The sequence below is a fragment of the Homo sapiens genome, chromosome 12 (assembly GCF_000001405.40).
Source record: "Homo sapiens chromosome 12, GRCh38.p14 Primary Assembly".
Lineage (NCBI taxonomy): Eukaryota > Metazoa > Chordata > Mammalia > Primates > Hominidae > Homo > Homo sapiens.
The window spans coordinates 22,060,123-22,082,527 of NC_000012.12; the positions used below are offsets into that span (position 1 = coordinate 22,060,123).

Below are 22,405 nucleotides of genomic sequence, written 5' to 3' on the forward strand. Positions count from 1 at the left end.
TTTTGGATGATGACAGGAGAGACTTCTTGAAAAAAAGGAGGATATGATTAAGGGATTTCCACAAAATCCCTTGTGGTCAGAAACCTGGAGGATGTAATATTTCTGCTTTTTTCAATATTAAAATAGAAATTTTCTTAAATAGGGAACTTGAACTGTTTAGATAGAATTTGAAAAATGTTAAGGTTATTTCTTTTGTGTGAGCTTTCTCCTTAAAAAAAAAAAAAAAAAAAAAAAAAAAGCTGGGCGTGGTGGCTGAAGCATGTCATCCCAGCACTTTGAGAGGCCAGCTTGAGGCCTCAAGAGGATAGCTTGAGGCCAGGTTTCCAAGACCAGCCTTGGCAACATAGCAAGATCTTATATCTACAAAAAACTTTTTAAAAATTTAGCCGGACATGGTGCTGTATACCTGTAGTACCAGATCCTTAGGAGGCTGAGGTGGGAGGATTGCTTGAGCCTAAGATTTCAAGGTTATAATGAGCTATGATTGCACCATTGCACTCCAGCCTGGGAGGCAGAGTGAAACCCTGACTCGAAAAAATAAAAAAGTAAAAATAAATTTAAAAATCATTTTTATGTGACTGATTTTTACTGGGTTATTCATTTTTCTCAGTACTGTAGAAATGAATTCATTGTTCTGTATTATAATAAAGTTTTGATATATGTGAATGAATATTAAAAACAGTATTCATGACATTTATACTACCTTTAGGGTGGAAAAATGGCATACTACGAAATGCGAGCTGAACATAGTGTGGATATAGATGTGGATATTGATTGGCCTATTGCAGAGCAAAGAGTATTAAGGTAAAAACAAATAAACCTTTATAACCTTTGTACTAAATCTTAATAATTATATTTCTAGATACTGATTTCTGATACTTCAGACATCTTAGGATCTTTGTAATTACTTTGTTCATGTGAGGAAGACATGTAAAATATGTGTTTACATGGCTTCAATAAAGTGAGAAACATTATCTGGCTAGACCACACTACTTTTACTTACTGTACTATATGTTAAAATATATATGTGAAGTAAATTTGGAGAGTAATGTTTGAATAATTGAATGGAGGGTGACATTTCATGTATTGGTTTAGCCAGATGAGAGGGAGTGATTAGTACTGCACTTGTACTCAAAGGTCTATTTTGGTTTCTTTTAGATATGGCTATTTTGGCAAAGAGAAGCTTAAGGAAATAAAACTTTTGGTTTGCAATATTGATGGATGTCTCACCAATGGCCACATTTATGTATCAGGAGACCAAAAAGAAATAATATCTTATGATGTAAAAGATGCTATTGGGATAAGTTTATTAAAGAAAAGTGGTATTGAGGTATGTGCTCCCTGAATATAGCAGTATTTTATAATATTTTGATTCAGGGTCAAAGAACATGCAAGGAATTAAGAGATTTAAATTTTTAGTATTAACTCTTAAAATATCTGAAATTTGGCCTTCATACGCCTAGAAAATTATTATACTATTTAGTTTTAGATGAGTAGAATTAGGAATTTGTTAATCAGCAAATAATATTTCTTGTTTATTCAGTAAATATAAACATAACTACTTTTAAATGGGAGCTATCTAATGTTTCCCAAAGGATCTTGCAGCAAGAAAGATTCCCTAGATAATAGGTGTACCATTTTAGAAAAGGACGATATCCTGTGGATTTTTAAAATCTAGCTTATTCTTATGAATGACATTTTTGATTCAAAATAACTTAACGTTTAAGTGTATTTTTTTAAATGAAAGCTAGCTAAGATAATTATAATTTACCAGAAATCCTAAATATGTATTGCTAAGCAGCACAAGAGAGAGGTTATAGACTTTCCTCTGGATAAATTGAATTATAGGAGAATCTTAGAGTAGTATCAGACAATATATGTTGTAATTTTTACCTGTAGATAGAATCCTTTCTATTGTAGAAAATAAAATACTGTGTCTCACCTTTATTGGGCTATGAGAAATAAAATGAGCTTTGTTTTAAAGCATCATGATTTTAATTCGACAGTCAGTTTTCTTACTTGGACCTTCAGAAAGTCAAAAGATGACTCGTTTGTGATTTGGACTGTCTACAAGGTCAATTATTATGAAAGATTTCTGTTTTCTTCACTTTTTAATTTTTCCCTTCTTCCTCCAATCCTTTTTTTTTTTTTTTTTAAGGTGAGGCTAATCTCAGAAAGGGCCTGTTCAAAGCAGACGCTGTCTTCTTTAAAACTGGATTGCAAAATGGAAGTCAGTGTATCAGACAAGCTAGCAGTTGTAGATGAATGGAGAAAAGAAATGGGCCTGTGCTGGAAAGAAGTGGCATATCTTGGTTGGTATCTTTTTATTCACCCATAGTAAAATGGACCAGGAATTAATTATTTACTTATTTTTAAAGAAATGACAAAGCACATCCTCCAAATGGGTATGATTGTAGGGAAATAGGAACTCTTTTAACAAACACTGCTGATCAAACTGTTAAACTGGGACAGTCTTTCTGGAGGTTAGTTTGATAATAGGTATCAAATGTAGAATGATTATTAGCACAAGCTGTGAAGTCAGACTGTACCACTGATTAGCCAGTTGTGATAAGATGAATGTTGTTTCCTCATCTGTAAACTGGAGATATCGAGAGTACCTATTACCGTAGGGCTCTGGAAGGGATTAATAAAATAATATGAGTAAAGCACTTAGCAGAATTTCTAGTACATATGAATTACACTCTGAATAGTTTTTGCTGCTAATTGAATGTACATACTTTTTCCTCCAAATTCCAATTCCAGGAAAGAAATGAGACAAATGGGCCAATAGTGAAGTTAAAAGAACCCACTTAAATGTCCTGTGAAAAATAGAATATCCCTAAAAAGGATTACTATGCAACCATTACAAACAGTGCTGTGACCTGTATTTATTTGCATGATCAAATATAACAATGTTTTTCACTTGGATATTAAGCAATACACTTACTTACCAGGTACCTATGATGATACGCAGCATGGAACTGGTTGTGGGAACTGTAGGCTTTCTGCTTGCAGAGCTTACAGTCTGATGATGTCAACATTTTAAAATTGATAAGTTATTAAGATGCATAATAACTATAAATCATGTATGAAAGCAGTATTTACAAGGGTAATATGAGCCTCAAAATAAGAAGCACAGGAAAAACTTTGGGAGCATGTGATCTAGAGACTTCAGGAATAACCCTTAAACCACACATGAAGATTTAATGGACATAAATGCTGCAGAATGTTTGTTAAAGACAGATCCAATTTTTATTAGAAGAAAATTTTAGTGGAATGTATAACAAATTCCAACTATACTTATTATCTTTCTTTGGGATGTTAAGCAAGCTTCTGTATACCTTAGTTTTCTACTTAGAATATAAACACAAACCAAATTTTATAAAGCCATTAGAAAGAAAAACAAAGATAATATAAAATGCTTAACATAGTGCCTACAGATAGTAATAAGTGTATCATTTATATAGGTAAAACTCTAGAATTATATGTGTCAAAATGTAGTGATTATCTACAAATAGTGATAATTAGGATGATTGTGACTTTTTTGCTTCTATTTTTTAAAAAAATATTTCTACCACGAATACGTATTACTTATATGACATTAAAAAAAAAACACACACACACACACTTTAAAAGGAGAGGTAAGAAAATGGAGAAGAGCATTTACATTTTTATTTAAAACTCACAGCAGGCCAGGCATGATGGCTCATGCCTACAATCCCACCACTTTGGGAAGCGGAGGCAGGCAGATCCCTGGAGCTCAGGAGTTTTAGACCAGCCTGTGAAACATAGTGAGGCCCCATGTCTACAAAAAAAAAAAATAATAACTCACTCACCAATGTTTTATATGGGTGACATAAGTGTATAAAAATATATTTCTTAAAAAAATCAATACTTTTATAAGTAAAATTTAGTAAATAGAGCTTAAAGGCTGGATTATGCAAATACTAACTTTTTTTATTTTAGTGAAAACGATTCAAATTTCAACACATTTAATAATAAATGAGAAAATTTCAGTAGATAAGCATAGAACAAATGTAAAAGAAACTCTCTTCAACCAAGATTGTACTATTGTATGTGGTCTAAAGTATAGTAATAGTTTTACTCAGAATGGTGAATTAAAGATACTGGGAGCTTCTGAAATGCATCCTATTCCAAAAAAGGGGTTAACAGAGAGGGAGGAAAAGGATATCGTTATGTCAGTATGATTTAGTATCTATTTTTATTCTTTAAAAATGGTAATTTTTCAGCAACTATTAATAAATGGCATACCAATCAGAACCATTACAGATTAAAAGAGATTTAAGAGATTATATATATATAAACAAAAGACCATATGTTAACCTTATTTCATTCCTGATTCAAATAAGTCAGCTATAAAAGGACAATTTTGAGACAGCTGGGGGTATCTCAACATATACTAGGTTATTAGAGGATATTAAGGAACTATTACTGATTTTGTGGGTTTAATGATATTCTGTCAGATAAAAAATTATATTTATCAGAGATAAATATTGAAGAGTTTTTGGATAAAATATTATGTCTGGGAATTCCTTCTTCTCCCTTTCCCCAAATAAACTAGGGGGCAGTGCATAGAAAACAATATTACTAAGTGATTTTAAATTCTGATAATTTTTCAATATAAAATTGGGGTTCTCGCATATGTTTGAAATTTTGCTTAATGAAAAATTTAAATAACTTACTTAGAATTCATATATAAAATTTCTAACATTTGTAATATGCATGGCAGGTAGCAATTATGCTCCATTCTTCTTCTCTAGCTCATAAGAGTTTATTTTTGATTGCTTAGGGAAAACCCTGGACCTCAATTATACTGTAAAATATTTTTGTTCCATCTAATCTTTAGTATTCTTATATGCAGTGCCCCTAGGTCTTACTGAAGTTGCCAGAGTTACCTGTTGGTTGCTGTCTGCATTATTTAGCTAGAATATTCTTTGTCTCTTTAAATGTTTGCTCAGTATTTATTTTACTTGATAGGAAATGAAGTGTCTGATGAAGAGTGCTTGAAGAGAGTGGGCCTAAGTGGCGCTCCTGCTGATGCCTGTTCTACTGCCCAGAAGGCTGTTGGATACATTTGCAAATGTAATGGTGGCCGTGGTGCCATCCGAGAATTTGCAGAGCACATTTGCCTACTAATGGAAAAGGTTAATAATTCATGCCAAAAATAGAAATTAGCGTAATATTGAGAAAAAAATGATACAGCCTTCTTCAGCCAGTTTGCTTTTATTTTTGATTAAGTAAATTCCATGTTGTAATGTTACAGAGAGTGTGATTTGGTTTGTGATATATATATATTGTGCTCTACTTTTCTCTTTACGCAAGATAATTATTTAGAGACTGATTACAGTCTTTCTCAGATTTTTAGTAAATGCAAGTAAGAACATCATCAAAGTTCACTTTGTATTGTACCCTGTAAAACTGTGTGTTTGTGTGCTTTCAAAGATGTTGGGATTTTATTTATCTGGGGACAGTGTGTATGGTAAGACATGCCCTTCTATTAATAAAACTACATTTCTCAAACTTGATGAAAACTGCCTTGTTGCTCTAGAAGAAATTTACCATGCATTTTCTTTCTTTCCTTTAAACATTAACCAATCTTAGTGAGAAACAAGCCACTCGATGCCGGGGTAGAGCATCTGATTGTACTTCACATATGTATACGTAACAGCATATGGTCTATGTGGGGGTTGGTTCCAGGACCACCCACATATACCAAAATCTGTGCATACTCAAGTACCACAGTCAACACTGTTGAACCCACATATACAAAAAGTGGGCCCTCCATATACTGCATGATTCACATGTATTTTTGATCTGCACATGGTTAAAAAAATTCACATAAAAGTGGACCACACAATTCAAACCCATGTTGTTCAAGGATCAGCAGTATACACAAATACAAATATCCAAATAAATTTATATATTATGAAGATTATGTATTTATTTGGAGGAAGCAAATTATTTGCAGTTACCCCTGAGAGATAATGGTAATTTTGCATACAGGAATATCTTAGAGATATTACGGGTTTGGTTCCAGACCGTTGCAATAAAGCGAGTCATAGGAATTTTTTGGATGCCAGGTACATAAAATGTTATGTTTAAAGTAAACTGTAGTCTATTAAGTGTGCAGTAGCATTATGCCCAGATAAACAGTGTATATACCTTAATTTTAAAATATTGCTTAAAAATGCTAACAATTACCTGAGCCTACAGCGAGTCAATCTTTCTGCTGCTGAAGGATGTTGCCTTGAACAGTGGTGGTTGCTGAAGGTTGAGGTGGCTGTGACAGTTCCTTAAAATAAGACAACAATGAAGTTTACCACATCAATTGACTCATGAAAGATTTCTCTCTAGTGTGTGATGCTGTTTGATAGCATTTTACTCACAATTGAACATCTTTCAAAATTGAAGTCAGTTCTCTCAAGCCACTGCTTTATCAGCTACATTTATGTAATTTTCTAAATTATTGGTTGTCACTTCGTGTTCATAGCATCTTTACCAAGAGTAGATTCTATCTCATGAAACCACATTTTTTGCTTATCTGTAAGAAGCAACTCCTCATCCATTCAAGTTTATCATGAGATTGCAGTGATTCAGTTACATCTTCAGGCTCCACATCTAACTTCATTCTCTTACTATTTATACCATATCTACAGTTACTTCCTCCACTGAAATCTTGAGCCCCTCAAAGTCATCCATGAGGGTTGGAATCAACTTCCAAACTCTCATTAATGTTGATATTTTGACCTCCTTCTATGAATCATGAATTCTGTTTTTTTGTTTGTTTGTTTGTTTTGAGATGGAGTCTCGCTCTGTCGCCCAGGCTGGAGTGCAGTGATGCAATCTTGGCTCACTGCAAGCTCCACCTCCTGGGTTCACGCCATTCTCCTGCCTCAGCCTCCCAAGTAGCTGGGACTACAGGCGCCCACCACCATACCCGGCTCATTTTTGGTATTTTCAGTAGAGACGGGGTTTCACCATGTTAGCCAGGATGGTCTCGATCTCCTGACCTCGTGATCCACCCGCCTTGGCCTCCTAGAATCATGAATGTTCTTAATGGCATCTAGAATAGTGAATACTTTCCAGAAAGTTTTCGATTTACCTATTTCCAACAGAGCAATCACTATTGATGGCAGCAATACCCCTAGAACTGTATTTTTTAAATAACAAGACTTGAAAGTTGAAATTATGCATTGATCCATGGCTTCAGAATGGATGTTGTATTAGCAGGCATGAAAAACAACATGAATCTGCTAGTACATCTCCATCAGAACACGTGGGTGACCAGGTGCATTGTTCATAAGCAGTAACATTTTGAAGGAATCTCTTTTTCTGAGCAGTAGGTTTCAACAGTTGGCTTAAAATATCCAGTAAACCATGTTATAAACAGTTGTGCTATCACCCAGGCTTTTCTGTTTCATTTATACTGCACAGGCGTGGTAGATTTAGCATTATTCTTAAGGGTCCTAGGGTTTTTAGAATGGTATTGAGGATCAGCTTCAATGTAAAATCATGGCTGCTTTAACGTTCTAACAAAAGGATCAGCCTGTCCTTTGAAGATTTGAAGCCAGACATTGACTTTTTTCTAGCTATGAAAATCCTAGATGGCATCTTCCAACAGAAGGCTGTTTGGTCAACACTGAAAATCTGTTGTTGAGTGTAGCCACCTTCGTCAATCATCTTAGCTAGATCTTCTGGATAACATGCTGCAGCTTGTACAACAGCACTTGCTGCTTTTCACCTTGCATTTTTATGTAATGGAGATGCTTCATTCCTTAAACCTCATGAACCAACATCTGCTAGCTACCTGCTTTTCTCCTGCAGCTTCTCCATCTCTCTCAGCCTTCATAGAATTGAAGTGAGTTAGGGCCTTGCTCTGGATTAGGCTTTGGCTTAAGGTAGTCTTGTGGCCTGTTTGATCTTCTTTCCAGACCACTTGAACTGTCTTCATCTCAGAAAGAAGGCTGTTTGACTTTCTTATTATTTGTGTGTTCACTTAAGTAGCACTTTGAGTTTCCTTCTATAACTTTTTCTTTGTATTTAAAACTTTGCTGACCATTTGGCACAAGAGGCCCAGCTTTTGGCCTATTTTGGCTTTTGACATGCTTTCCTCACTAAGCTTAATTATTGCTAGCTTTTGATTTACAGTGAGTGATGTGTGACTCTTCCTTTCACTTGAGTACTTAGGGGCCATTGTAAGCTTATTAATTGACCTAATTTCAATATTGTTGTGTCTCGGGGAATAGGGAGGCCCAAGAAGAGGAAGAAAGATGAGGGAGCAGCTGGTTGGTGGAGCAGTCAGAACACACACAATATTTATGGATTAAGTTTTCTGTCTCTATGAGCATAGTTCACAACCCCCAAAACAATTACAACAGTAACATGAAAGATCACAGATTCACAGACCATCATAACAGATATAATAATAATGAAAAAGTTTGAACTATTGTGAGAATTACTAAATTGTGACACAAAGACATGAAGTCAGTAAATGCTGTTGGACAAATTGTGCCAATAGACTTGCTTGATGCAAAGTTGCCACAAACCTTCAATTTCTAATAAACAGTATCTGTGAAGTACAATAAAGCAAAGCTCAATAAAACATGGTATGCCTGTATTATATATGGTTATTGTCACAACTTTACAGCTGACATAAATCACTCTTCTACCTGATTAGATTCTAACAGTGGAGCATTATCTCATAAATGTGGATATTTACCTGATAAAAATCATTTTTGGTGGAACATTTACATCTATTTCCACCATAAAAATAATTCATGTAAAACTCTGACAAGAAGTTGACCTTCCAGGTCAACTATACAGGAAGCTGCTTTCCTCTGTCAGGACTGTTGGATTTGCGTACTCCAGAGTATGCCCCTGTAGAACAGACATAAGTTGGAGAAAAAAAAAAAACCACCAATTTATTTTAAAAACTTTAAATTAATGGTTTATTTTAAATTAAACCATTAAACAAAAATTAATGGTTTATTTATTTTAAAGCTATTAAAATAAATTAATGGCTTATTAATTTTCTTTACATCTTGTCCTAGTTTTACTCTCATCCTTCCGGTTTTCCTGCTATTAAGTTTATTTTTTCCCACTCCTTTGCATTTACACATCCACAAAGGTTCTAACCCCACTTCTTGTTCTTTCCCAGGTATCACATCTCTATTCAAGGTTTCAGCGACAATCTCCATGCAGACGAAACTCAAATATAATCTTCAACCCCAATACTCTGTTGTGAGTTCTAGTCACATCTCAAATTCTTCATATTATAGGCCAGGCTCCTGGACTTCATCCCTCAAGTTGCTGATTTTATCATTATTAAAATCTTACAGCTTTTCAGTTTCTCCTTTTTATCTCTATTCAGATACCAAAGCTTGAGTTTGATACTACTAACCCAGTGTCCTTTCAATTTATTCAGTACTGTCACCAGATTACTTGTTCAGATTTTTGCTAGTTGTTAACCTTTTTGAAATCTTTTAGTGACTCCATGCTGATGACCACAGAATAAAACATACTTCAAACGAAACACTGTAGCCTGGTCACAACCTAATATTTCCAGCCGTCGTTCCTACAAGTTATTGTGGGCCTCTTCACCCCAGTCATAGCTTATTCTCAAGTCCTACCTTTATCAGCATGAACAATTCATTCCTCAAAAAACTTCTGCTAAAATACCTCCAAAATCAATTTCTCTGTATGAGTATAAACCATATTGGAGTCCTTGTTTCGTTTCAATGACTCCAAGCCAAGTACAAGGAGATAATTCAGTTCTCACTGTTACAACTACTTCCTGTGTTCCTAGCAGTAGGAAATCTTACTCAAGAAAATATCACATGTTCAGCTCCAATATGTAAGGAACTTAGAAGTTGCCATTCCCATCCTTACATCCAGAAAAACTGGACAAACTGGATTTTGTCCCATCCTTACATCCAGAAAAACTGGATTTTGGTAGGTCCAAAAATCAATGGCTTTTGGACCTACCAGAGAACCAAGGACTCAGGGCAAACAGCCACCCATCTGGAGAGATATGCACATCCAGTGAGATACAAGAGCATCTGATACTTGCTTACTTTTGCCACACATCCAGCAGAAGCTCCTGGATGCCCTAAGCTGATAGGAACACTTAACTAGTAATTTTCATGAATTGCTAGACCCTGAGTATGGTCTAATGTGAGAGTGAGAAACTCCTCGTGGTTGCTGTCATGCAGGGGGCAGGCGTGGAAATACTGGAAATATTGGTATTTCCAGAAATACCAGTGGGTTCTCACAGGGAGGTTCTGAGGATTCAAGAATAATCTTCCAATGGCCCTGGTAGGAGGAGGTAAAGAATAGTCATTGTTAAATCCTGCCAGCCCCTTCTCCCTCACAAAGAACTTGTCTCCAGTAGAAAGGACTTCTCCCCAGAGGGCAATACTGAAAACTCACCTAGCTAGGAGAACTCTGAACTCTGCTCAACTCCAGCCCACTTTCCCGTCTCACCTAAGGGACAAAAAAATCCATAGTCAGCAGGGGAGAAGGCGGCAAGGAAGTTGATTGAGAATGCCACAGCCAGGGAAAATGGGGAGCAATGGGAAAAAAAAACTATACCCCTGGAGGAGAAATTGAAACACTTGCGAAGGTCATCTCCCAAGACACAAGCCCACTAAAAGACCAAGACACAGATGATTTTAGAGTGCTCCCTCTGTTCCACACCATACACTACACCAATAAGTCTCCAATGTAATAAAAGTGGATTTCAGCCAAAAAAGCTACAAGACACAGATTTTCTCTAAGGAAAAAAATACAAAAGGAAGTCTTAAAGCCAAAAACAAGGACACTGAAAGAATTTGCAATCTCTGGTATCTATAGCTATAAGAAAGATTAAATCGCATTTTAACTCCAAGCAAGATTAATATAATTTTTCACACTAAAGACTTCTCTTGGTACCTATTACCATAGGCAATATATCTGGTTTTCAACAACAATAACAACAGAAATTGTAAGATATATCAAAAACAAGAAAAAGCAGGGTCTGAAGAGACAAAACAGTCATCAGGTTCAGACTCAGATATGACACAGATTCTGGTACTATCAGGCAGGCAATTTAAAATGCCATGGTAACCAAAACACAGGTTCGGCCACTTGCCACGTGCAGAGTCCAATTAAAAAAGCAAGTTCTGGTATAAAGAAAGTGACTTTTTACTCCAAAACTTGCTTAGGGGAAGAAGTATAGGCTCTTGCCTTTAAGAGTACTGCTTTGCTTTTGGAGCAGAAAGCAAGTGCTTTTAAAGGGGGCCTGGCATGCTAGCATGAATGGCATCCAGAGGAGAAGGAGCAGGTGTGTATTAGTTTCAGCGGCTTATTGACCCCTGGGCAGTTTAGCAGGTGACTGCTGGCCCCTTCATGGGAAGATCTAGGTAGTAAAAGCTTTTGAAAATTCTCCAGGTGAGAGAGAGTTTTGCAGCAGGCACACTTTGGATTGTAGATGGACTGTTTTTCGAGGCAGCCTCCTGGTGGAGAGTTCTGCTCTCGAGCTTCTGAGCACATAGTTAAATGAACGTGCCCTGTAGGGAGTATCTGATGAAGTGGTTGTAAAGACTATACTTCCATTTCTAAAGAGCTAACTAGAGAAATGGGGAAATGGAAGAAAGAGAAGAGAGTGAGAAAATAAACTATCTCTTAGAAAAATGGGAGTATAGCTGGGCGTGGTGGCTCACGCTCGTAATCCCAGCACTTTGGGAGGCCAAGGTGGGCGGATCATGAGGTCAGGAGTTCCAGACCAGCCTGACCAACACAGTGAAACCCCATCTCTACTAAAAATATAGAAATTAGCTGGGCGTGGTGGTGGGCGCTTGTAATCCCAGCTACTTGGGAGGCTGAGGCAGGACAATCACTTGAACCCGGGAGGCAGAAGTTGCAGTGAGCCGAGATCGTGCCATTGCACTCCAGCCTGGGCGACAGAGCTAGGCTCCATCTCAAAAAAAAAAAAAAAAAAAAAAAAGAAAAGAAAAAAGAAAAGAAAAATGGGAGTATTGGGTTACGATTCCCCACTGCCAAGTTCCATTTCATTTCTATGGGATTTAGGTGCCATATTCATTCTGGCTGCTTCCTGCTGAAAGGGGCATAGTCATTGTGTATCAGAATGGAACTGATCTATTTGGAACTGGAAATATTCATGAGTACCCGGATTTACAGATGATATTGGTTGGAACATTATAGTGTGAGGTCTGGAAAGTATATGAAAAATCCTGTCTTGCATTTCCCTACACAGGGTGCAACAGTAGTAAAATCCAAAGCAGAGAAGTATGCCTATTCTTGCAGCCGGGGCTAAACTGATAAGTAGCTTCCACCACCAGGACAATCCTGACCTGAAACTGAATGCTAACCATTGATCTAGCAATATGTGGGGTTAGAAATAGCTTTGATTTGTTGGTTTGTGTCTTGCAGGCTATCAAGACATTTCCTGTATTATCTTGGATCTTTAGGTAGCATTTAGTCTTAATTGTCATGCAGATTCCCCACTGCCAATTATAACCAGATATGTTAACAGGTTGGTTAAATATGTGTTCAACGGATTATAGGAAGAGCTGTGAATATTCACGAAAGTCATCATAAATCCTGTCTAGTTTCTGAGAATGAATCAGTTTAGTTAGCTAGCTGTGTCTCATCTAGGAGGTGGCATTGCAGATGGGTTAGTCCTCTGTATGTGATGAAGGCAAATATATTTTTAATAAGAGGCATTTCTATAGAAACAGAAGAAAAACAAAGGTTAATGTTGGGCACAATTTATCTAGATGATAGACTCAAAGCATCTTTAGTTACAGAGGAGGGCGGTAGCAGGCTGACATATTTTTCTCTCCTGTATTACGAGGAATAAGGTAGTAGTGATTTCACCAAGTCCAAATCAGAAAAATGGAAGGCCAGGCACAGTCTTACACCTGTAATCCCAGCAATTTGGGAGGCTGAGGCAGGTGGATCACTTGAGGTCAGGAGTTCAAGACCAGCCTGGCCAACATGGTGAAACTCTGTCTCTACTAAAAATACAAAAGTTAGCTAGGTACGTTGGTGCTCACCTGTTGTCCCAGCTACTCAGGAGGTTGAGGTAGGAGAATTGCTTGAACCTGGGAGGTAGAGTTTGCAGTGAGCCAAGATCACGCCAAAGATCACTTTGTTACTCCAGCCTGGGTAACAAAGTGAGAGTTTGTCTTAAAAAAAAAATGGAAAAGGAATTTGAAAGCATTCGTTTAGGGACCTGTAACCCAGAAAGAATTCAGGATTTAGTCCAAATTGCAGAAAATAATAAAAACTCTAAAACAAAGGACAAAACTAGAATCAAACAACAGGTGTACTATAGTTTTTTCTGAAATATAATTTTTTCTCTCTCCAGTTCCTGTTATACTAAAGACAAATCATAATAGGACAAATTTATTTGCAAAATAAGTTTTAGTCTTATTATACTTGGCCTGATTATTTGCAGAAAGTGCAGCAAGAATAATTATTTGTCATATTGGCTCCTTTTAAAACTGGCTTTGCTGAAATTTTTACTTATAAGAAATCTTAAATTGACCTTTTAAAACCTTGAGCACAGCCACAGACTCATCTGTACTTGCAAATACTTGTATGAATTGGGTGAATTCCTCTTCTTGAGGTCTCAAGATAATTTGGGGCTCTTGGGCGTGTCACAAAGTGACATTCTTACTTACTACAGGTCAGGAAATCCTGTGCAGGGACTGCATGGACAAGGTATGAGGCCAGTTTTTTTCCAAGAGGCTTTAATTGGCTGTATAAGTCAACTTTGATTCCTTAAAGCAGTCTATTTATACCTGGAAGTATGCCCTTTCAGTCAAAGCCTTGGTAAAATAACTGGTGTCTCCAATGGTGTCCTTTCACAGAAGAAAACAGATTCTTCTTGAACATATGCAGATAACTATACTGCCATAAATTAAGTATACTTACAAATAGTTTTCAAATTCTGGAGAAATCAGGTAAAAACAAAGAAAAATTCTCCGAATTTTGCTCAGAGGACTGTACTTTACTCAACTATTAAAAGCTGTAAATAGCTCAAAAGGAAAAAGGATTTTTGGACTCTGAAAAATCAAAGAATTAGCAGTGTTTCAAACAAAGTGTCATAAAGATTATTTCAGTCTTCCATTAGTTCAGTCTATGTAATTTATTCCTGTTCTGTTTGATATGCATAAATGCATTAGCTTTTTATGGGAGTTTTGGAAGTTTTTTTTTCTTTATTCTAATGTCAAAATCTCCAGTTATTAGAAACCTGCCTTCAAGAGCACCTGTCAGTGTCCTATAGCTGGTTATAAAACCACCTTTGAAAAGAATCAGAGTAAAATAACAATTATGGATGACAAAACTCTCAGAATAGCCACAAAGACACAATCAACAAGGAAACCTGGCTATGTGGCACATAGTAATTTAGCATAACAATCATAATTATTACTGATAACATATGTTAAGACATATCAGAATTACAGGAATCTTATACAATTTTGGAACACATGCTCAAAACATGTTTATATGACTATAACTCAAAGAACTGTAAACACCATTTTATATTTGACAATGTTTCCTGTATGGTTTTTATATACCAAATAAGCCAAATATGTCTCTTTTAGACTTTAAGGGACCTGATATCTGAAAAGGTTAAACAGGTTAAAAAAAAAAAAAAGAACTTAATTTAGAATTTGACTTTTGAAAGTTTATCAAATATCAAAGGTTTAAACACTTGGTATTACAAAATAAAATCTCATGTCACTATAAGTAAAAGGGAAAAATCTTTACTTATTGATAGAGGATAGACAGCTTTTCAAATAAAACCCAATAAAGACAGTATGAGGCCAACTGAATCTGTCTCTTCTTTCCTTTCTTTTTTCTGTCATTTATTCAAAAGGCAAACAAAACATTTTTTATTACTTTTTAATATTACACAAAAATTTATTCAAAAGAGAAAGCCAAATTTCACCTTTGCATTAGTGTACTATTAATGTTAAACCCAATTTTCAATAAAACCTTATAAACAAATCTATCCAATCTTAATTAATTTGACCATAAGGTAAAATTTTCATAAATTTTTTATAATCCTTTACAATGTTGTGTTAAAGAGCAGATCAACTTTCTAAGAAAGCCTTATTATTCAGACACATGGGCCCAGATTCTGGTCCTGCATCAGTGTGCTTTTATTTTAATGTTTGATTTATGGAAAAACTAAATAATCCCTTTCAAATTTTAGCCAGCTTTCTCACACTTGTAGAACTTCTTTTCCAAGATTAATCTCTCACAAATCTTTCACAATTTGTTTAAATTTTCAGTTTTGTTCTATCGTTCTTTTAGCTTAGGCCAATCCTTAAAAACCTCGGAATTAGACAAAATTACATTCCCTTTAGCAAAAACCATATCATACTTATATGCCTTCTTATAACCTTTTACCAAAACCACATTCTACTTTCCTTGTATATCTTGCGTATGAAACTGTTTCTCCAGTAGTCTCAATTAACATGTTACAATGTTAACTCTCAGCAACTTTTATTTTTTGTGAAAAATCTGGTAAGTAAGTAATTTTAACCATATATTGGATTGTAAAGCCCAGGACAAGGGACAGAGCTGCAGACAACTGTCTGACTCTTCCAGCCTAGGTAGGGAACCTACCTAACTCAGTATGTCCCTAGACCTTACCTAGAATCCAATAGCTGTAAAACAGGCAAGTCAAATTATTATTATAACTCATAAAAGTATTTTATGACCTTAAAGCCTCTAGCATCAGGTGAGCACTCACAGTACCTGGTTTTAACTTTGTATCACTGAAAGAGGAACTGAACAGGTAGAAAAAACACTCTTGAATCACCGATGCCACCCCTTGCCCCCTGCCCCGACCCACTGTGGCAGCAGCAGTGTGGGGCAAAGAGTGTCTCTGAGTCCTGGGGGAGGGAGAGCATTCCAATTGTAAGGCATTGAACTCAGTGCTGCCCTGTTATAGCAGAAAGAAAAAAATCAGAGCAAATTCAGCTGATGCCTGTCTATGGAGGGAGCATTTAAACCAGCCCTAGCCAGAGGGAAATCACTGATCCCAACTGTCAGACCCTGAGTTCCTACAAGCCTTGCCACCACGAGCTAAAGTGTTCTGAGGCTCTAAATAAACGTGAAAGACAGTTGAGGCCACAAGGACTTCAACACCTAGGAGAGTCCTAGTGCTGGACTCGGTCAAGGGACAGTGGACTGGAGGGGCACGTGACCTACTAGACACCAGCTGGGGCGGCTAAAGGAGTTCTGGCATCCCCGCTCCCCTAACCCCAGGTGGTTGCACAGCTCCTGGCTCCAAAAGAAACCCCTTCCTTATAAAAAAGAAGAAAAAAACCCAAACTCATCTTTTCTTCCCTCAGTTTCAAAACAGTTTCCAACGTTTACATTCTAGTTAGACCACATGAGTCCTATCTCAGCACCAGCAGCTTAGTAACAGCATATTTAAAGTAGGGAGAAAAGAAGAGAGAGGGAAAGACAGCCTGCACAGGAGCCAGGCCTATGCCCCGGTGAAGTTCGTACTGGGCATGGGAGCCAGGTTTCACAAGTGGGGTGTGAGAAAGAAAGGAGGAGAAGAAAAAAAAAGGTAAAGTGACCAGATGGAACCTTGGGAACCTTCCAACCATTACACAGTGTGGGGGCACCAGGCCCGCCCTTCTCATTTATCAGGGAGAGTCTCAGCACCCTAGGTGGGCAGCTCTCCGAGATAGTCAGGAGGGTGAAATGGGAGGTAGAGAGCAAAGAAAGGCAATAGGGCCCATACAAAAAGTCATTCATTCACACATGCAAATGGTGTGCTTCCAAATGAGTCCCCAGTCAAGGGTCTGGGTGAGGTCCTGAATCCCCCGCCCCAGTTCCAAATGGCTCCACAGGAAGCTGAGTCTGAGCCAAGTTCCTATGGAACTTCATATTCAAATAAATACAAATGCATAAAATGCTCAAATGCTATCACTAGCAGCCAGGTCTTAAATACAGTAGGGCCTTGGGCCAGGCGCGGTGGCTCATGCCTGTAATCCCAGCACTTTGGGAGGCCAAGGTGGGCGGATCACCTGAGGTCAGGAGTTCAAGACCAGCCTGATCAACATGGAGAAACCCTATCTCTTCTAAAATACAAAAATTAGTGGGGCATGATGGCGGGTGCCTGTAATCCCAGCTACTTGGGAGGCTGAGACGGGAGAATCGCTTGAACCTGGGAGATGGTGGTTGCAGTGAGCCGAGACTGGGCCACTGCACTCCAGCCTGGGCAGCTGAGCAAGACTCCATCTCAAAAAAAAAAATAATATATATATAGCACGGCCCCAGCGACACCCCAAAAGAGCCAAGTCTTAAATAGGGCAAGGCCACCCAGTTTGGGTACACTCCAACTACTCACTCAGTTTCAAAGTTTGTCAGCGTCTTAAGAGGCCATTTTGCTTGTACCAGTGAAGCACCAAAGGCAGCAGTTGTCATGCCATGAGGCAAAAGGGAGCTTCCCCCAAAACAAATTCATTTTTGGCAGCTTCTGGGAAGTTTCCTAATGTTCCCATTATGGGGTCTGCTAGCCATGAGCAGCTGGCACTCACAGGTGACCCCACACCTCACCTGGTAGTGAAACTGGGCTGACAAAGTTAGCTCACCCAGGGCATGAAGTACTTCCCCATATGAGCCACAAAAATTGTAACCAAAACACAAGTCCAGTCACTCCCCACTCCACATTTTGTAACCAAAACACAAGTCCAGTCACTCCAATTAACAGGAGCAAGGTATAAAGAAAGTGACATTTTATTCCAAAGCTTGCTTAGGGGAAGAGGAGCAGGATCTTGTCTTTATGGGTACCACCTCACTTTTGGAGCAGAAAGTGGGGTGCTTTTAAAGGGGGCCCAGCATGCTGGCATGAATGACATGCAGAGGAGTCAGTGAGCAGGTGGGGGGTCTGCATACTAGCCTCGGTGCCTTATCTACCGGGTGGTCAAGCTGGTAACTGCTGGTCCCTTTGTGGACAAGACTAGGTTGTAAAAGCAGCAGAAAATTCTCCAGGTGGGAGAGAGTTTCACAGTGGAAATACTTTAGGTAGTAGATGGACTGTTGTTTCTTTAGGCAGCCTCCTGGTAGGAGAGTTTCACTCTGGAGCTTCTAACAACCTAGTTAAATAAACTTGCCCTCTAGGGAGTGTCTGGTGAAGAGGAGGTAAAGGCTATAACTGCATTTCTAAAGACCTAAGTAGGAAGTGGGGAAAAGAAGGAGAGCGAGAAGAAGAAAGATAGTAAAAAACTATCTCTTAGAAAAATGAGGGTACACAGTTACACTATGATTAATAAAAAAAGGGATGGAAAAAAGTACACAACATGCAAAATCAGATAGATAATGTCAATACAGACAGAAACTATGAGAAAGAATCAAAAGGAAATGCTAGAAATCAAAGAAACAGTAGCAGAAATGAGGAATGCCTTTTGGTGGTTTATCAGTAGACTTGAGATAGCTAAGGAAAGAATAGGTAAACTTGAATATTGGTCAAATTTTTTTTTTTTTTTTCTGAAACGGGGTCTCACTCTGTTGCCCAGGCTGGAGTGCAGTGGCGTGATCTTGGCTCACTGCAACCTCCACCTCCCAGGTTCAAGTGATTCTCCTGCCTCAGCCTCCCAAGTAACTGGGATTACAGGCACGCACCACCATGCCTGGCTAATTTTTGTATTTTTAGTAGAGACGGGGTTTCACCATGTTGGTCAGCTGGTCTCGAACTCCTGACCTCGTGATCCACCCGCCTCGGCCTCCCAAAGTGCTGGGTTACAGGCGTGAGCCACTGCGCCCGGCCAGAATATTGCTCAATTTTAAAAGTTCCCAAACTGAAAAACAGAAGGAAAATAAATTTTAAAAAAGAATACAATATGCAAGAACTGTGGGCCAATATCAAAAGGTATAACTGAATACCAGAAGCATAAGAAATAGAACAGGACAGAAGAAATATTTGAAATAATACATGGCTAAGAACTCCCAAAACTAATGACAAACACCAAAGCCAACCTTTCTGTGGCTAAGCTTCCTGGCTCTAATTGAAGATAATAACGGTATCATCAAACTACAAATCCAGGAAGCTCAGAGAAGTCCAAAACAAACAATTAAAAATAAAATCCTACAACCAGGCATTTCATATTCAAACTGCAGCAAATCAAAGACAAAGAAAATCTTGAAGGAAGCCAGAAGGAGAAAAAAAAAAAAACAAACCAGAACTAAGGATACAGATTATATCAGATTTGGCTTCAGAAACACGTGAGCAAGAAGAGTGAGGTGAAATCTTTGAAATGCTGAAACAAACCCTGTCAACCTATATTTCTATATTCAGCAAAATTTTCCTTCAACGGTGAAAAATAAAGCCTTTTGTGGAGAAAACTGAGGGATTTCATTGCCAGCAGACCTGCCCTGCAAAAATGTTAAAGATATTCTTCAGAGAGAAAAAAAAATGATATAGGTCAAAAATTATACAAAGAAAAGCATTAGAAAAGGAACAAGTGAAATTAAAATAATATTTTTAATTGATCTAAAAGATAGCTATTTAAAGTAATAATAGTAACAATGTATAGGGTGACTATAGCATATGGACAAGTGAAATAATTGACACCAATGTCACAAGGAATGGGAGGAATGAATCGGGAGTAGTCTTATAAAGTTATATAATGTTATTTGAAGGTGGACTTATTTTAAAATATATATTGTAAACCCTAGGGATATTACTAAATTTTTTATAAAAGATATATGATATACCAAGTAAAGATATAAAATCAAATCATACAAAATGCTTAATTAACCCCAGAGAAGTCAGAAAAACAGCAGGAGAAAGAAATAAAGAACAAATGCAATGAACAGAAAACAATTACAAAGATGGTAAATTTTAATGCAACTATATCAATAATCCCTTTAAATATGAATGTTCTAAACACACCAGAGACTGTCAGGTTGAATTAAATTAAAAAAAAAAACTAGACTTACCTGTGTGCTGGCTACCACAAACCTACTTTAAATTTAAAGACTCAGAAAAGTTAAAAACAAAATGATAGGAAGAGAAATTCCATGGTAAATCGATCAAACGACAGTATCATATGCTCTGTCAATTATCAATTACTATATAACAAATAGCTTCAAAGCACGTTTACTTGAAAAAATAACTACTTTTTCATAATTCTGTGGATCAACAATTTGGGCTAAGGTAAGTAGAGTTGTTTTCATGGTCTCACTCTGTGGTTGCAGTCAGTTGATGGTGGGAATCGATGAACAGTCCAAGTCAATTTCCCTCACATATATCTACTGGTGTCTGGGCTGTTCTCTTCTTGCAGTCTTTCAACTTTAAGGAAACTAGTTTAAGTGTCTTAACGTGACAGTCTCTGAGCAGCTGGAAGGTGAGATTGGATGCTGCAACACTTTTTGATAACTTCCCCAGAAGTCACACAATGTTACTTCAGCCTCAATTTTACTGGTCAAAGTGAGTCAAGTTACTGACCATCCAGCTCAGATCAAGGGGTCAGAAGATGGAGTCTACTTTCTAATGGAAGGAGTTTAATTTTTAATGCATTATATATGTTGATACATCTGGGTTTGGAAATTTGAGAAGGTGAAAAGAGAAAGATCTTTTTGAGGGTTTTTATTCTAATTATTTTGCATTTTGGAATTTGGACAAGTTTAGCCAACCTTTCCGTGGCTAAGCTTCTTTGCTCTAATTGAAGATAATAACAGTATCACCTCACAGGATTGTGAAGATTCAATGAGATAATATATATAGCATGTCTAGAGGAGTACCTGGCTCGTGTAGGGCCTCTAAATGTTTATTATTATTGGCAATAAATGAACTTAGTTTCTAGCTTCAACATTGTCACGAACTAGCTAAGGTATGCTTTTCAAGACATTTAACACCCACAAGCCAGTTTATTTGACTATAATCTGAGGCGCTTATAATAGATGATCTCTATTGTCCCTTTTAATTGTCCCTTCTAATTCTACAGATGCAAATGTACTAATGTTTTACTTAGAAGAAATATTTCACATAGAAGAAACATATATCATATTTATGATTAACATGAGCATTTAAGGCTCTGGGGATGATTGGCTACAAATTATAGTGCAGAAGTCTTAAATTTCTTAGTACATCAGTGAACTTAGAAAAGAAATATTCTTTATTATTATGTATGTATTTATTTGTAGAGATGAGGTCTCACTACATTACCAGGCTGGTCTTGAACTCCTGTGCTGGAGCCATCCATCCGCCTTGGCCTCCTGAAGAGCTGGGAGCAGAGGCATGAGCCACTGCACCCAGCCAATACTCTGTATTAAACCATGATTCATTGAAGGGGAAGAGCTATCAAAAGTAAGTAATTTTATTTGTGAAGATTGTTTACCTTTTCTCAATTTAACAATGAATAGCATTTAGCATGTCAAAGATTATTACATTTCCTGAAATTGTTAGGTTGGTGCAAATGTGATTGTGGTTAATGGCAAAAACCACAATTACTTTTGCCCCAACCTAATAAAAAGCCAAATAAGGCACAAGCTCACCACCTCGGCAAACAAATATAGGGGAATGGGATGATATGAGTCTGGCGAGGTGAATAAACAGAGGCCAGATTGTACTGGTTTTTGTGAGTTACATTAAGACATTTTTGCTTTATCCTGAAAATAAGGGTAGAGAGAGACCCTTAAAGGGCTTGAAGCAGAAAAATCTTTTCAAGTGGAGGTGAAATTTGAGCTGGATCTTAAACTAGAAAATTTCATTGGTGTCAAAGGACAATATCAAAAAAAATGGAGTTAACGTTTGTGTTCAGATAATGGAAGAGGTCGTTATCTGTATAGGCCTGAAAGGATCTACAAGGTAATGGTAAGAAATGAGACCAGAAACACAGGACCAAATTGGAGATGACCTTCAAAAGAAAATGCTTGATTCCTGTGTTGACTTTGAAATGCTTAATTTCCTTCGAATCCAATCTATTCCACTACCACTTTACTTGTCTACTTTATGCTTTCTGTTCCCTTTGTAAAAGTCTCAGTGACTCCATGCTGCCCACAGAATAAGGTAAACAATTCCCAGTCCAAGTGTTATAGTTCTCTTTTGTATCCTTCCTGCCACTCCGCCCTGATTATGAAACCAGCAGACAGCCAGGCGTTAGCCCTCCTCTCCTTCCCCCAACCCCTGCCCTTTCTTCTCTTAAAGCCCTCTCTTCCTTCACAGCCTTAAGTATATATCGAAGTGTTCATTGGCTTAATACTTACCTTCAAGTTACAGAAGATCGAAAAGCCTGTTTATTTTGTCGGCATCATATTGCGTCAGTGTGGTGGACGCTGTGTTGGGCCGTAGAGCTCACCCTTGAGCCTGGAGGTCTTATCCCCCTCAGCTGCTGGGAGTGTTGTCAGT

General features: G+C 37.5%; 1 protein-coding gene and 1 long non-coding RNA gene across 4 annotated transcripts in view; one reads left to right on the plus strand and one right to left on the minus strand.

The window, feature by feature from the left end:
• CMAS (cytidine monophosphate N-acetylneuraminic acid synthetase) overlaps positions 1 to 5,546 on the plus strand; it is a 19,451-nt gene extending 13,905 nt beyond the window's left edge. Inside the window, exons 5-8 of one of the 2 annotated variants that reach the window (NM_018686.6) lie at positions 710 to 804; positions 1,159 to 1,330; positions 2,159 to 2,312; positions 4,999 to 5,546. In NM_018686.6, coding sequence (NP_061156.1) covers positions 710 to 804; positions 1,159 to 1,330; positions 2,159 to 2,312; positions 4,999 to 5,189 — 612 coding nt within the window. In that variant the 3' untranslated portion in view covers positions 5,190 to 5,546. The remainder of the gene's footprint in view (positions 1 to 709; positions 805 to 1,158; positions 1,331 to 2,158; positions 2,313 to 4,998) is intronic. The other variant, NR_135117.2, reaches the window with a different exon arrangement.
• Positions 3,651 to 22,405, minus strand: LOC105369690 (uncharacterized). Of its 2 annotated transcripts, none has more exons than XR_931423.4 (5): positions 22,264 to 22,405; positions 10,450 to 10,503; positions 8,741 to 8,898; positions 6,223 to 6,313; positions 3,651 to 3,805 (listed from the first exon to the last, which is right to left on the minus strand). It is a non-coding gene; the product is annotated as an uncharacterized LOC105369690 (long non-coding RNA). The 2 variants fall into 2 exon arrangements; XR_931424.4 differs by lacking the exon at positions 22,264 to 22,405 and adding an exon at positions 17,405 to 18,560.